Source organism: Homo sapiens, chromosome 1, assembly GCF_000001405.40.
Source record: "Homo sapiens chromosome 1, GRCh38.p14 Primary Assembly".
In the NCBI taxonomy this organism is placed as follows: domain Eukaryota; kingdom Metazoa; phylum Chordata; class Mammalia; order Primates; family Hominidae; genus Homo; species Homo sapiens.
In genome coordinates, this window is record NC_000001.11 from 212,210,544 (window position 1) to 212,227,716 (window position 17,173).

A 17,173-nucleotide genomic window follows, 5' to 3' on the forward strand; every position below is an offset into this window, starting at 1 on the left:
ATAAGCTCTGGATGACCTCTTACTGATCACCATCTTTTCCCCAACACAAACTCCAGAAATACCAGGTCATTAGCAATTATGCAAGGGTTGAGGAGGAAGGAGGTTTTCCACTCTTTATTCCATTTCATTATACTTCTTCTTCTTCTTCTTCTTTTTTTTTTTTTTTTTTTTTGAGACAGGGTCTCGCTCTGTCTCCCAGGATGGAGTGCAGTGGGGCGATCTCGGCTCACTGCAACTCACTGCAACCTCCACCTCCTGGGTTCAAGTGATCCACCTGCCTCACCTCCCTAGTAGCTGGGACTGCAGGTGTGTGCTATCACTCCCAGCTAATTTTTTTTTTTTTTTTTTTGTATTTTTAGTAGAGACAGGGTTTCACCATGTTTGCCAGGCTGGTCTTAAACTCCTGACCTCAGGTGATCCGCCTGCCTTGGCCTCTCAAAGTGCTGGGATTACAGGCATGAGCCACCATGCCTGGCCTATACTTCTTATTTAAGAACAACTTGGCCTGGCGCGGTGGCCCATGCCTGTAATCCCAGCACTTTGGGAGGCCAAGGCAGGCGGATCATGAGGTCAGGAGTTCGACACCAGGCTGGCCAATATGGTGAAACCCCATCTCTACTAAAAATACAAAAATTAGCCGGGCATGGTGGCGCGTGCCTGTATTCCCAGCTGCTCAGGAGGCTGAGGCAGAAGAATCACTTGAACCCAGGAGGCGAAGGTTGCAGTGAGCCGAACTCATGCCACTGCACTCTATCCTGGGTGACAGAGTGACTCTTATCAAAAAAAAAAAAAAAAAAAAAACTAAAAAAAAAAAAAGATAAAATCATGACTCTCCTACAGATATAAAATGAAGACATCACTATGGTTTGAATATGTCCCCTAAAAAGCGTATGCTGGAAACTGAATTCCCAGTGCAACAGTGTTGGGAGGTGGAGTGGAGCCTGATGGTGGGTGTTTAGGTCATGAGGGCTCCACCATCATGAATGGATTAATGCTGACTGTGAAAAGACTCGCTGCTGCCAGTCTGAGCTCTCATTCTCATCACGTGATGTCTTCTGCTGTGTTACGATGCAGCAAGGAGGCCCTCACCAGATGCAGCCCCTGAATCTTGGGCTTTCCAGCTTTTAGAACTGTAAGCCAAATACATTTCTGTTCATTACAAATTACTCAGCCTGTGGTATTCTGTTATAGCAGCATAAAATGGACTAAGGCACACATGTTAGGGATTTTTTTTTTTTTTAAAGACTGAGTACTGCTCTGTCGCGCAGGCTGGAATGCAGTGGTGCGATCTCAGCTCACTGCAACCTCTGCCTCCTGGGTTCAAGTGATTCTTCTGCCTCAGCCTCCAGAGTAGCTGGGACTACAGGTGCATGCCACCACGCCCAGCTAATTTTTGTATTTTTAATAGAGATGGAGTTTCACCATGTTGGCCAGGCTGATCTCGAACTCCTGACCTTGTGATCTGCCCACCTCAGCCTCCCAAAGTGCTGGGATTACAGGCATGAGCCACCGCACCCAGCCACATGTTAGGGATTTTTAAAACTCAGAACTGGATTGAATTTGGGGCTTTGCTGCTTACTAGCTGTAGTAACTTAAATGCATTTCTTAACCTATAAAAAGGAGATAGATACCACATGGACAGCAGTGAAGATTAAATGAACCAACCTATGGCTATGAGGAAGATTTCTGATGCAGGTAACAGAGCCCCCAACTTAATATGATATAACACAATAATAAATTATTATATCACATGCTAGGAAGTCCAGAAATATCTCAGGCTCCAGGGGAGAATACTCGGTTCCGCCCTCCCGTAGGTGTTACATTCATCCTTAGGTTGATAACAAGATAACTGTAAGAGTTTCAGGAATCTCATCTAGAAATAAAAACCAGAGAGAAAGGTCATCTCTTTCTGTGTCTCTTTCACACAATCTTTCTTTTCCAGAACTTTCCTTCATGCTTCATTGGCCAGTGTTTTGTTATTTGACCTTTCCTCAACAAGTCCTTGGCAAGGGAGATGGAAATATCATGACTGGCTTAGACTAATCAATACTTACTTTCGGAATTGGAATGGGGTCACCTTTCTCTGGGTTTCAAAAGGAAACAATAGATGAACAAAATTGAGGTTCTGTTAGCTAAAATGGAAGAATGGAGAAATAGAAGTTGAGTAGGCCACCCGTAGGTTCCACTATCATCAGCAAATGCCCAGTATAAAGATTAATACCCAGCAGGTATATGTCCAAGAAATGTTAGTCATCACTTTTCTCAGTGACACCTGAACGTGATGTACAAAGACTGGTTTGAAGGCACATCTTCATGCAGCTCTTAACTCAGAAATCAAGTCATCTGACAGGTGCCGATGAAAATTTTTTCAGAAACTTCAGATGGACAGCTTCCAGAAGTAGATGCTGGCTCTTCACAACTTGCCGCACATTGCACAGCACATTACGTTGCCAAGCAGGTATCTTGGGATTGGTGGGTTGCTCCTTCTGCTTAGAGGCCCCAAGCATCTGGTGTTTCTCTCTTCTGTGTTGGCGGATCCTCTGAACTTTGATACAGTCTTCATTCCACAATTGGCAAAGAAAATCTCCTCTGGGATACAGCCCACACACGCCTCACGCCTGGGGAGGCATGACTCCCGGCCCTGTCCTTTCACTTCAAATGAAATATAATAAATATGAAAGGAAACCAAAAGACAGGCAGACAAAAAGCATACTCAGAAAGACAGAATGAGAAAACACATATACGCTCACAAAAGCAAGGGAGAACAAAAGAGGGCAAAGGGCAGACATCTCTGTGTCCACTGGAGCTCTGAGGAATCAGAATTTCTAAAGCTTTTTTTTTTTTTTTTTTTTTTTTTTTTTTTGTTGAGACAGAGTCTCGCACTCTTGTCCTCCAGGCTGGAGTGCAATAGCATGATCTCTGCTCACTGCAACCTCCGCCTCCAGGGTTCAAGCGATTCTCCTGCCTCAGCCTCCCGAGTAGCTGGGATTACAGGTGCCCGCCACCATGCCTGGCTAATTTTTTTTGTATTTTTAGTAGAGAGGGGTTTCACCGTGTTGGCCAGGCTGGTCTCGAATTCCTGACCTCAGGTGATCCGCCCACCTCGGCTTCCCAAAGTGCTGGGATTATAGGCCTGAGCCACCGAGCCCGGCCTCTAAAGCTATTTTTTAAAATGTAAAGATTTATGAGTTATCCTCTCCTTCCTGATAGCCCTCTTTTCAGCAGTTACTTTATTCGTATTGAGGCAGGAGGATGAACAAAGGATCTTTCCTCCTCAAGAAACACCCCCTCCTTCCTCAGTTCCACACCCCTGCCCTAAGAATCCATGACTCCAGGAAATATTTTCAGATAAAACAATTCCAGTTACTGGAAAATTGCAAGGCTTTCCTCTGTGGGTTTACAACAGCCTGGCCTCTGACCCACCAATAAAAGAGATTTACTAAGTGATAGTAACACCTTTCATGTAGTCTCAACATGAGGCAAGTCACTTTATCTGTCTCAATCCAGGCTCCTCAGGCTCATAATGGTGAAGGTTGGAATGGATTAGTGGTTTTGAGTGTATGTGCGTATGTTTGTATGTACATGCATATTAAACTATGTACATCGTATATAGTTTATGTATATGACCCTCCTTCACAGGGGCTCTGAAGGGAAATGGTGACCCTAAGGAGACCCATTTCTCTTCTCTGCTTTCCTTTGTCCCCTTGGTAATGACTTATCTCCTTCCTTCCCACACTGGGGCACCTGACTCAGTACAGACTCTTCTTCCTTCAAGGCATCTAGCTCAAAGGACTTGCCTCCCCTCCTTTTTACATGGGGAGCTATTACATATTAAACAACAGAACATCATTTCAAATGCCAACATCTTATGTGGCACTTCAACATAAAAACAGGTAAAGGCAAGTGCTTTAATTGAAGGAAGGTGAGCATGGAAGGAGTGGAGTAAGAGCAGGAGGAGTCTTTGAAATCCTTATCTTTGGCCACAGCAGCCTCTTGAAGTGTGGCCCCAGGTGGGGCTTCCTCGGGCAATTTGATAACCATTGATCTAGCTACTCTCTAAGGCATTGTAGATCTAAAACACAAAGGTCTTGCTCTGTCTTTATCAAAAAGAAAGTCTGATTCCTCCCTGTGGATTCACACAGTAGCACAACATACCTTGAAGTGGAGAAGGAAGACAAGAGCCAGGAGGGCAAAAATCTCCTTCCTAACTCCATTTCTATCTTCTTTGGAATTCTGAAAAAAAACAAACAACAACAAAAAAAAGATAGTGAATGGTACAGGGAATAATATAACTCATACCTACCACCTGTAAGGTTAGCGGAGAGAAAGTACAAGAAAGAGACCCAAGGTTAAGTGAGGAAGTTTATTAACCTACTGGCTGCCCACTTAACAGTCAGAGAGGAAGCAGCCCCAAGCTTACAGAATGAGGGGTTTATATTGGGGAGGGGAGTTTGAGGGAGTTCTTTGGTGTGGCCACATCCCAAGGTTGTTTGCTGGTTAATTTTGCCACATATCACCTTGTGACGTTTATTACAGGAGGGTGTAGGTAAAGTTTGTTTATGCTTCCCATAACCTCCCCCTTTGCTGTCTGGATGGTTTGTAATTGGAGTTTGCTTATTACAGCAAGGTCTGGTAAGTGAAATCTGCTGGCTTCACCGCGGTGCCTAGATAAGGGCTTAGAAATGTAAAGTGACTTGGGGGAAGGAGAAGAGTTGCAGAGCATTAGCGGGAGAGGTGGGCAGCACGGAGAGGTTTGAAGGGGAGTGTCGGCAGTACCAAGAAGCTTTTGGGGGCAGTTTGTTTCTAACACCACCCATAATCATAAAATGACAATTTGACATATTTGTCTCAGATAACTTTTTTATTCTTTTATTATTTTTTTTGAGACAGGGTCTTGCTCTGTCGCCCAGGCTTGAGTGCCATGGCATGATCTTGGCTCACTGCAACCTCTGCCACCCGGGTACAAGCGATTCTCCTTCCTCACCCTCCCGAGCAGCAGGGATTACAGGCCCACACCACCATACCTGGTTAAGATAAGTTTTTGTTTGTTTGTTTGTTTGAGATGGAGTTTCACTCTTGTTGCCCAGGCTGGAGTGCAGTGGCGCAATCTCGGCTCACCACAACTTCCGCCTCCCGGGTTCAAGCGATTCTCCTGCCTCAGCCTCCCGAGTGGCTGGGATTACAGGCATATGCTGCCATGCCCGGCTAATTTTGTATTTTTAGTAGAGATGGGGTTTCTCCATGTTGATCAGGCTGGTCTTGAACTCCTGACATCAGGTGATCCGCCTGCCTCGGCCTCCAAAAGTGTTGGGATTACAGGCGTGAGCCATTGCACCCAGCCATTGCACCCAGCCGATAAGTTTTTTTAAAGTAAAGAAAACCTGGCAGATGAAGTTCTCTTAGTTCATCACTCTAATCCTATTTTCCTCCTTCTCTCTTCAGTTAAACGCTACCATGACTGACTAATGCCTGCCCCCAACTCCCCCACCCAAAAGATGTTCACTTACCAACCCCTGGAGCCTGTAAATATGTTGCCATGGCAAAAGAGATTTTGCAGATGTAATTAAGGATTTTGAGATGGGGGAGATTATTCGGGTTAGCCAGCTGGACCCAATATAATCACAAGGGCATTTATTGGAGGGAGGCAGGAGGTCAGAGGCAGAGAAAGAGATGACACAATGTTGCATGAGGTCGGTGATGATGAAGCAGAGGCTGGTAAGATGCATCCAAGAGCTAAGAAATGCAGGCAGCCTCTAGAAGCTGGAAAAGGCAAGTATTCTCCTTTAGATCCTCCAGAAGGAACACAGCCCTGCTTACCAACTGTAGACTTCTGTGTTGTTTCCAGCTATTAAATTTATGCTGATTTGTTACAGCAGCAATAGGAAACTAATACAATGAGCTGGGTGAGTTTCCATCTGCTCCATGGTTTTTTTTTAATGTTTATTTACTTACTTATTTATTTATTTATTTATATGAGATGGAGTCTTGCTCTGTCACCCAGGCTGGAGTGCAGCAGCACGATCTCGGCTCACTGCAAGCTCCACCTCCCGGGTTCACACCATTCTTCTGCCTCAGCCTGCCGAGTAGCTGGGACTACAGGTGACGGCCACCATGCCCGGCTAATTTTGTTTTTGTATTTTTAGTAGAGACGGGGTTTCACAGTGTTAGCTAGGATGGTCTTGATCTCCTGACCTCGTGATCCGCCTGCCTCAGCCCCCCAAAGTGCTGGGATTAGAGGTGTGAGCCGCCGCACCTGGCCTCCACGTTTTTTACTTGGACTAGTTGGATAGACACATAGAAATAGAGAAGATAATTTTGTTTTATGTACAGTCACCTGATGTTTTTGAGAATATCCATTTGACATGTAAATATTGAATTCATCCAGTTTAATTGCAATATGGTATTTTGTCATGACTGTACCACAGTTTGTTTATGTAAGTCTCTAAAATGGACTGGGTGCATGGCTCACGCCTGTAATCCCAGCACTTTGGGAGGCCGAGGCAGGTGGATCACGAGGTCAGAAGATCAAGACCATCCTGACTAATACAGTGAAACCCTGTCTCTACTAAAAAATACAAAAAATTAGCCGGGTGTGGTGGTGGATGCCTGTAGTCCCAGCTACTCGGGAGGCTGAGGCAGGAGAATGGCGTGAACCCAGGAGGCGGAGCTTGCAGTGAGCTGAGATCATGCCATTGCACTCCAGCCTGGGCAACAGAGCGAGACTCCATCTGAATAAAAAAAAAAAAACTGTCTTAGTGAGCTTGGGCTGCTATAATGAAAAATCATAAACTGGGTGGCTTAAACAACAATGTATTTCTCACAGTTCTGGAAGCTAGGAAGTGCATGATCAGGCACCAGCAGATTTGGTGTCTGGTGAGGGGTTTCTGGTTCATAGACGGTGCCTTCTAGTTGTGTCCTTACCTTGTAGAAGGGAGGAATGAACTCCCTTGGGCATATTTTATGGAGACACTAATCCCATTCATGAGGGCTTCACCCTCAAGACCTCATCTAATCCTAATTACCTCCCAAATATCACATCTCCTACTATTGTCACATTAGGGGGTAGGATTTCAATATATGAATTTTGGAAAGCCTAGAGCATTCAGTTTATAACAATAACACATGTTTATTCTAGTTGATTCTGTGGCTAGTTGGGTGATTCTTCTGGTCTGAACTTGTTTGGTTGGGGCTGGATGGTCTAGGAGGGCCCCACTCATATGTCTGGCCTCATGTGGAATCCCAGGACTGTGGGTAGGGCTGGAGCTTCTTTCCGTGTAGTGCTACCAGGAACAGCTTGTTGACATGGTGCCAGAAGGGTTCCCACAAGCAAGAGCCTCTGCTTGCATGACATTTGCTATCATCCCGTTGGCCAAAGAAGGTCATATAGCCAAGCCCAAATTCAGCAGGTAGAGAAACAGACTCTACTGCTTTTTGAGAAGCGGGGCAAAATCACATTGCAAAGGAGCATGCATGCAGAGAGACAAGATAAATTGGAGGGTATTACTGTAACAACCTAACTTAGCTGATAATAAGAATCCAGCTTCTAGTGTGCTTAGAAATCTCAAAATTCATCTCAATTCAAAAAGTATGCTCATTTTCAACTATGGTCTCTGCATGCCGTAAAACTTAACTTCTTGTGGCATGCCAGGCTACTTCCCCCAGGAGCCTTTCCCGTGCTGTTTGCTCTGCCTGGAATGCTCCTCCCCTCTCCGTGCCAGGCTAATTATTATATTTCCTTTAAGTCCCTTCCTAAAGTCACTTCCTTAGGGAGCCTTTCCTGACTCTTCAGACCAGGCCAGGTCTCCTGTTCTACACACTCAGGGCACCACAGATGCTGTATTTACAGCACGTACCACCACTGTCATGAATTACTTTGTTGTACAATTATTTGTTTAATATCAGTCTCTCTCTCTTTCAACCTCAACCAAAGGAGCTCCAGGGCAGAGACTGGGTCTATCTTGTTCACTGCTGAATTGCCAGCATCTAATACAATGTCTAGCATGGAGTAAGTGCTCAGAATTGGAGGAATAAATGGATGAACCTATGAATGAATGGCCTGCAATGTGCTCAGCATGGAATAGGCCTGTTTAAAAACAGGTTGGAGTAGCAGATATGGAAAACTGCAACCTGGTGGGGAGTGAAGACTGAGTTGTACAAAATGATTGAGAACAACTCAGAACCAAATAGAGGGTGAAATACCAGATGCTGGGCTGCAAATGCCATGGAGATTGGGAAGAAGGGATCAGGATAGATCAGGTGGTCACAGAAGGTCATAGAGGGTAGCATTTGAGTGAGGTCCAGAGGAGGAGCAAGATTTCGAGGCAAGGATTTAGAGGAGGAGCAGGACTTAGAGGCAGTTTGTAAGGAGGCTAATATATTAAGGTCATGAGTTTGCTCCTCTGTAGTTCCTATTCTACTCATATCCTCATAAGCTCTTTATCATAAGAGAAAGTAGGCAGGAGAGTAAGGGGAGACGGTTCAGTGGAGCCAGTCCTACTGTTATTGAAACAGCTCCAGGAGGTTATGTTTCAGAGGAAACTGCAAAGTTGTGTCATCCACACATGCAAAAAACAGCTCATTTAGAGACCAGAGAGATTCCTCTGAGCCACTGAAACAGAACAACGGTAAACATCTGCTTCTACTCTTCTGGAAACATTGTGGTTTGGATGCTCTGTCTGTCACTCCTCTGCTCTTTTGCTTTTAACTATTTATTATGAAAACTTCCAAACCTACACAAAGAAAAGAGTTTAAGAAATTCCATCACCAACTTCAAAAAACATCAATACTTTGTCACATTTGTTCCATGTCTCTCCCTCCCAACCCTAAGTTTTTTTTTCTCCTGAAGCATTTTAGAGCAAATCCTAGATACCATGTTATAACACTCCGAAATACTTCAATACAGATATCTAAAAGAAATAAGGGCATTTTCTTATGTAACCACAACACCTTTTCATACCCAACAAAATAAAGCATAATTTGTCAACATTCTTTAACACCCAGTTCATATTCAAAATTTCTTGATTGTCTAAAAAAATGTCTTTTTACAGTTGGTTTCTTTGAATCAGAATCTAAACAAGATCCTCACATTAATTTAATATCTCTTAAATCTCTTTAAATCTAGACTTTGGACGTTCTCTTTCAGCTGGGGCTTTCTTTACCAACAACCAGCCTCAGCCCTCGCAGTCTTTATCTCGCTCCTGGATTGGCAGGGAGCTGAAAGATCAGAAGCAGGAGGAATGAAGTCAACACAGTGAGAGGGTGGGAGGGATGGTGTGAGTATCAGATGCCTAAGATCTTATGAAAAAAAATTCCTAATCAGCTTCAGAAGAAACAGATTAGAATAAGAGACTCTTAAGAACTGGAGTTGACCTGCATGCTCTCCTAACACCTAAGAATGTCAAGAATTTACAGAGATTATAAGAGGCTGATTCCTGTGGGCAAGAGAGGGAGGGCAACAGAAAGGAAATCACGATGAATCTAATGGACAACATACAAGCATAGGCAGGACCTAATTTACAGGGCCCAGTGCAAGATAAAAGTCTCAGAGCCCTTGTTCAAAAATTATTAGGAATTTCAAGATGGCAATAGCGGTGCATCGAACCAAGCACAGGGCCCTTCAAAGCACAGAGACCTGTGTGACTCCACAGGTTACATGCCTGCCTTTGTGAAACTGGCCCTGTGCAATGGGTGGCCGAGTCTAGGAGGCCCCAGGGAGTTGTCCTACAAGATAATACTCTACCAACACATGTCTCGTTTGCATTTCAGAGACAAGCAAAGGCAGTGGGAATTGTTTCCATATCTCTAGTCACCACCAGCATCTCAGACTTGTCAGGATGTCTAGGGATGGTGAATGGCTTTTAGAGGTCATAGAGATCCACGCTGCATAATTGAATTCTAAACCATGGATAGTGGTGGGTTTGGACCCTCTGGCCTTTATGCTTGTCTCTGTGAGTATAGGCTCTAGAGCCAGAATGCCTGGGGTCATAGCCAGGCTCTATCACTGTGTAACCTTGGTCAGTTACTTGACCTCTCTGTGCCTGTTTTCTCATCTATTAAATGGGGTTAATAAAGATACCTACCTCAGGCCGGGCGTGGTGGCTCACGCCTGTAATCCCAGCACTTTGGGAGGCCGAGGCGGGTGGATCACGAGGTCGGGAGATCGAGACCATCCTGGCTAACACGGTGAAACCCCATCTCTACTAAAAATACAAAAAATTAGCCAGGCGCGGTGGCAGGCACCTGTAGTCCCAGCTACTCGGGAGGCTGAGGCAGGAGAATGGCATGAACCTGGAAGGCGGAGCTTGCAGTGAGTGGAGATCGCACCACTGCACTCTAGCCTGGGCAACAGAGCGAAACTCTGTCTTGAAAAAATAAATAAATAAATAAATAAATAAATAATAAATAAAATAAAGATACCTACCTCAAAGGATTGTTGAATATTAAATTGGTTTATATTTGCTGCACATGGCAAGCACGATGTGTTTGTTAAAACAAGATAAATCCAGAGGCTAGAGCTGTACAGGTCCAGGCAGATATCTGGTAATGGTGAAACCTTCAGGATGAACTGACTCTGCTTTTCTAGGGGAGAGAGGCTGTGCCTACATCCTGATCCAGCTCCCCAAAAACATACACAATGGTCATTCACTCAGTAAGTGTTCATCAAGTGCCTACCATGTATCAGGCACTCACTGAGTAGAGAGTGAGCCAGGCATGGTTCTGTTCCTTAAGGTGCTGACCTCTAGCATAGGGAGGGCTCCACCTGCAAAGTCAGTTGTGCCTCTAGGTCTAGGAGCAGACCTTGTTCCAGGTAGGAGGAAGGAGATACTCTCAGCCAGTAGCCCATCAACGAGGTAGTTCTGCAGCTAGTAAGCATGATTTGACTTCAGTATCCTGAGTCCTTGTTCCCAGTCTGCTTTATGATATTCTGCTTTGACCAAACACCTGCCTAATAATTCAGCATTTCCCATCTAAGATTCAGTATTTTATTTCCTGCCCCAAAACTCAGACACTCCCAGTCTGACTTCTAATCCCTGCTGTTGAAACCCCTGAGATGCTGTTACCTGCTTCGCTCCTCCCCTTCTTTGAAGGGGTTCTCAGGACCTTGAATTTGGTTTGGGCCACCATTGGTTAACAGTGATCGTGTCGTTAAGAAAGACAATGGAGAAGGTGGCTGGGGCACAATGCCAGGACTTTTTATGGCCTTCTCAGGCTGTCCTGGGCCCATGTGTGTCCATCTCTCCAGTAACTAGTCTCTGACCCTGTCCTCATGTCCTTAACACCTGGCCACTCCTTGACTGCACAGCTGCACAGACTTAGATTCCCATCTCACCAACATTCAAGCCCAGGATCTGAAGGATTCCGGTAGGGGAGGCTGCAGGAGCCCTTAGGAATGTCAGTTTGACATTGAAACAAGTTTTTTCCCTCAACTAACAAATTCTTGGCCCTCTGCTAAGGCCTTTGAGGGGGAGTTTGTGGCAGGATGGCCATGGGAGGATAATGCAGAGTCATGGAGATGGAAGGAGGGTCATGGATAAAGACACCAGCTGCTTTCCTTTGGCTGACATCAACCCTGAGGCCATTCTGAAACTGCTTTACTTGGCAGCCTGGAGACACTGCCTAGAATATCACCATCCCAGGCCAGGCATGGTGGCTCATGCCTGTAATCCCAGCACTTTGGGAGGCCGAGGCGGGCAGATCACAAGGTCAGGAGTTTGAGACCAGCCTGACCAACATGGTGAAACCCTATCTCTACTAAAAATACAAAAAAATTAGCCGGGTGTGGTAGCATGCACCTGTGATCCCAGCTACTCAGGAGGCTGAGGCAGGAGAATCGCTTGAACCTGGGAAGTGGAGGTTGCAGTGAGCCAAGATCACACCACTGCACTCCAGCCTGGGCGAAAGAGCGAGATTCTGTCTCAAAAAAAAAAAAAAAGAAAAAAGAAAAAAAAAAGAATACCATCATCCTAGCTGAAGGCCTCCAGGCAACTGGACTCTTCAGATAGCTGGTGATAACAAATGGCAGGTGGAAGCCAAGGGAGAACTTTTCACATATCCTTCAACTTCCCCAATCTCATTTTAGAATTTCTGAAGTAGTGACAATTGGGGGGAAAAAAGTTTCTCCAGGGTCACTTTGGAAGAAGCAATGTATATTAATTTTCTCCTTTATAGCCACTGAATGATGGCAGGTTAGAGAGTGGCAGGTCCTGTTGATGAAGTATTAATATTACTGCAACAGGCTGGTCAACATGGTGAATCCCTGTCTCTGCTAAGAATACAAAAATTAGCCGGGAGTGGTGGCGGGCACCTGTAATCCCAGCTACTTAGGAGGCTGAGGCAGGAGAATCGCTTGAACATGGGTGGCAGAGGTTGCAGTGAGACAAGATCACGCCATTGCACTCCAGCCTGAGTGACAGAGTGAGACTCCGTCTCAAAAATAAATAAATAAATAAATAAAATAAATAAATAAAAATATTACTGCAACAGCAGAGAGCCAGACCCCACAAGGGTGATGGCAAGAAAATTGGTGAGGAATTCGATGCGTAAATCTTGGGTTGCCTCTGAATCCTTTGGCCCTGGGGAGGGAGAGCAGAGCCCACCCTGAGAAGAGGCCAAGCAAGAGGACAGACAATGGGGAAGGAGGCCAGGTCACAGTGCCAGGACGTTTTATCCTATTAGGCCACTGCATTCCTGCAACTTCTGAATATACAACCTAAATCTTTTTTTTTTTTTTCTTGAGACGGAGTCTCACACTGTCACCTGGGCTGGAGTGCAGTGTGTGTGTGTGTGTGTGTGTGTGTGTGTGTGTGTATAGTGTATTTTAGGATGTAGGCTGGGCACAGTGGCTCTTACCTATATTCCTAACACTTTGGGAGGCCAAGGCAAGAGGATCACTTAAGCCCAGGAGTTGAAGACCCGCTTGGGTAACATAGCGACACCTGCCTCTACAAAAAAATTCTTAAAAATTAGCTGGGTGCAGTGCAATGCACCTGTAGTCTCAGATACTGGGAGGCTAAGGTGGGAGGATCGTGTGAGCCCAGGAGCTTGAGGCTGTAGTGAACTGTGATCATGCCACTGCACTCCAGCCTGGGTGACAGAACAAAACCCTGTCTCTAAAAAATTTTTTAAATTATCGAATTTTTAAAATTTTGTCCTATTAAACTATAATATGCCTTAGGGAAGTCACATTTTTTAATTCTCTCCCACCCTTCCATTAGCCCTTGGCTGTTGTTTAGGAGATAATTTTGATTAATTAATTTGTTGACTGACCCTTTAAGATATCAACATCAATTGTTTTAAAATCTTAGTTTATAGAAAAAATGTTAGCCTAAAGACTGACTCCATTTGTCCCTCATACAGAAGCCAAGAGTTTCTGTTAAGATTTAGGTTGTATAGGCCGGGTGCCTATATATCCATATATACATATGTGTGTGTGTGTGTGTGTGTGTGTGTGTGTGTGTGTGTGTATCTATATATATATCTCCAGGAAGAGAGAAATGTAATAATTTATAGGCAATATAGAATACATTGTTCTGTGGTAGCAGAACTCTTTCCTATGGAGTGTTGAGGATGACTTGGAAAAAGCAGAATTTGGCCTTGCTGGTTGGGGGACTTAGATTATGAAGCACCTACTGGGTGCCAGGCACTGGGCTAAGAACTGGGAACACAAAGATGAGCACTTCATGGGCTCTGTCCCCAAGAGAGTGCTCACAGACTAGTGTGGGTGGCAGATCTGTGAACAGAGAACAGAGCAGAGCCCTGAAAAGAGGAGTGATACCTGTGTGGCTGGGGAGGTGAGCAGGGTGTGTGTGGAGAGAGAGAGACACGCAGAGAGAGAGAGAGACAGAGAGAGAGAAAGAAAGAAACTTCTGGAGGGGCTTCACTGAGGAGGTGGCATTTGGGTTATGTTTTCTCTGTGGATTTGGAGGAAGAGCATTTTAGACAAGCGGACAGTGAGTGCAAAGGCACAGGCAGACGCCACACAAGAAAGACAGGCATGCATTCAGAGGAGTCCGTGTGATTGGGAGAAAGGCTGCACACACCGTGTGGTAGCAGACAGTCTGGGAAAACCGGGCAGGAGAAAGGTCATTAGGGCCCGGGTGCCAAATAAAGTGTGCATTTCTTTTTATTTTTCTTTCTTTCTTTTTTTTTTTTTTTTTTTTGAGACAGAGTCTCTCTCTGTCACCCAGGCTGGAGTGCAATGGCACGATCTCAGCTCACTGCAACCTCCGCCACCCAGGTCCAAGCAATTCTCCTGCCTCAGCCTCCCAAGTAGCTGGGATTACAAGTGTGTGCCACCATGCCTGGCTAATTTTTGTACTTTTAGTAGGCACAGGGTTTCACCATGTTGGCCAGGCTGGTCTTCAACTCCTGACTTCAGGTGATCCACCCGCCTTGGCCTCCCAAAGTGCTAGGATTACAGGCATGAACCTCCACATCCGGCCAAAGTGTGCATTTCTATCTTTGGGGAGATCGAGAGCCGGCCACTATTTTTGAGCAGGAGAGGAGTGGGTTCATGTTTACCTTTCAGAAAGATCCCCCACTGGGAGAAGGGGGTCTTATTGCTCCAAGAAGCCAGAGAAAGGGAGACCAGTTGTGGGGTGGGTGGGTTGGTTGGGGGTGGAGGCTTTTAGGCAAGGACATGGCAGCAACTGCCAGGATGCCCACAGCTGGGTGGCATGCAAGATGGACTGAAGGCAGGAGTACTATTTGAGGCAAAGGAGACCTTTAGAGAAAATGCCCTGTCAAAGCCATTTATTTTAACAAATACTCTTCCATTGCTCTGTTTTTATTCCCTTCAGATGCATCTTTCCTTCTGGGATTGTGAAAATGGATGTCATTTCTGTAGCTTTCTGAAGTTTCGGTGAAGTTTCCTTTTCCTCTCAGTGGATTCTGTGTAGCAGGAAGCATGAGTTGATTTCAGCTTTTTGTCTTCTGAGACCTACTTCAGAGTGTGTTGCTGCTGGTCCGAGGCTGAAAGGAAGGTCTGTGATGTCATAGGCTGTGATTTTTCTAGAAATGTGTACTGAGATCAGCTGGCACAATTGTGTTTTAAAAACAAAAACATCTCAGGGGCAGTCCCCACATTCTGCATAACGGGACCCTTCACCCCACTGCCTAGATGGTTAATCCCGACAACTCAGAACACCCCACTAACCAAGGTGTTAATGACGTAACTCTCTCCTCACAGGAAAAGCTGCTCTGTAAGAAAAGGGCACTGAAGGAAGTGGCTTTTGTTCTAATGCCGAATTCCGGGGAGGCTGGTGCTTGAAATGTTTACCTCCTCCTGACTTTTTACATGATTTCTCCAGTTCTTGCATTTTATACACCAAAAGCAAAATACAGCTTGACCCTGGACTATTACATGGTGGCTCCGCCAGGCTGGCTGTGGAACTCAGGCTCTGCCATGCAATGGTTGGTTAGTCAGGAGACTGGAGCAGAGAGCAAATAAGGTCGAGGTCATGGTTGAAATTCCTATAGAGGCCAATTGGCTGGGCACATCCTGCCCTCCACTCTCTCTGGCCCTGTTGTACAGGGGACTGAGTAAGAGGGTATAGCTGGCTCAATGCAGCCCAGCACCGCTCTCTTAAATCGCATTGCACATCCTGAATGGCCAGTAAATAATACAGACTTCAGGCACAATGAGACCTTGCTTAAGCAACCCTCTAGAAGAAAGCACCATTATACCTTTCAGCTGTGGTTTTTTTCAGCCTTCATTAGTGATGTGGAACAGCATTGACTGCAGTAACTTTTCTACTAAGCAGAAACATTTGTCTGCTGCTCCAGTCAAAAATACCTGCTTTACAGCTTTAATTCGTCCCACAGAACTGCAGGTCCATAAGGTGAGGCCGTTTCCCTTCCCCACTTCCTCTCTCCATGCCCTTTCCTCACTCACTGATGGCCTCTTCTCCTCTGGTAGCCCCCGAAGCCTTTTTTTCTCCCTATCAGAGCAAGAAAGGCTCTTAGGATGGTTGTTTGCACGCCCAAGTTGACAGACTGCCCTTCATGGCAATGATTCCTGTTACTATTACTTCACCCAGACATTGAATGTCAGGGTTTTTTCTAGAAGGCTGTCAGTAGAAGTTGGCAGTTAAGAGTGGGTAGTTTAGAACCAGATCAAAGCCAGGCTGGGATCTGGCCCTGACAGTTACTATCTGCGTGCCTTGGGATAAGAACTTAACCTTGCCAAGCCTCGGTTTTCCTCTCTGTAAAGAAAAGCTCATACTGAAATTATTGCATGCCAGCTCTCAGCATTGCCTGTCACATGACAAATGTTAGTTATGATTATTTGTTAGCTAATTGACACACAGAAGGCTTTATTCTACTAAAGGCCTACAGCTAGCAAGTGGAGATAATTTTTTATTCAAATTTTTTATTATAAAAAATTTCAAATGCATAGAAAAGGTGAAATAATAGTACAGTTGACACTGAAATCCCTCTTCTAGATTCTACAGTTGTATACATTTTACCAAATATATGTTTTTTCCTAAACTATTTCAATGTAAGATACAGACATCATCCCTAAATACTTCAGCACACATCTCTTTAAAATAAGGACATCCTCTGACATACTCACAGTAACCTTTTTTACACTTAAGAAAATTAATGATAATTACCTAATATCCCCTGGTTCCCAATTCCCAAATCATATAACATTTTCCAAAATGTTTCCCAATATGTCTTCTAACAGATGTTTGTGTGTGTGTGTGTTTTAAAAAATTTCAGTAGCTTTTGGGGTACAAATGTTTTTGGTTACGTGGATGAACCGCAGAGTGGTGACGTCTGACATTTTCATGCACCCATCACCCAAGTAGTGTACATTGTACCCAATATGTAGTTTTTTATCCCATACCCCTCTCTCATCCTCCCTCTTCTGATTCTCCAAAGTCAATGGACTTTGGATGTTTTTTTTTCAAACAAGATCCAATCAAAACTCTTACATTGCATTTGGTTGTCATGTCTCTATTTTCTTTTATTCTAGAGCGGTAGGTGTGGGGAAATTTTGAGAACAATATTGTTGCTGAAATCAACTATTGGCTGCCAGGTGGAAATGGCTGCTGCCTCCACTGAGGCACACTGGGCCCCGCCACATTTATTAGCACAAGCCCTGTGATATGGTTGCATAGCTTGCTTTGCTGAACTTGTTGGTTACTAGCTACTGCTTAATGACTGGACA

General features: G+C 44.9%; 1 long non-coding RNA gene across 3 annotated transcripts in view; it reads right to left on the reverse strand.

Annotated features, from left to right (window-relative positions):
* Nucleotides 1–2,458: 2,458 nt before the first annotated feature.
* The window catches only part of LINC02608 (long intergenic non-protein coding RNA 2608), a 72,020-nt gene continuing 57,305 nt past the window's right edge, over nt 2,459–17,173 (reverse strand). For 2 of the 3 annotated variants that reach the window (NR_125984.1, NR_125983.1), the window contains one exon: nt 14,735–14,970. This is a non-coding gene — a long non-coding RNA (long intergenic non-protein coding RNA 2608). Of the gene's footprint in view, nt 2,653–4,155; nt 4,234–14,734; nt 14,971–17,173 lie in introns of those variants that run through there. The other variant, NR_125982.1, reaches the window with a different exon arrangement.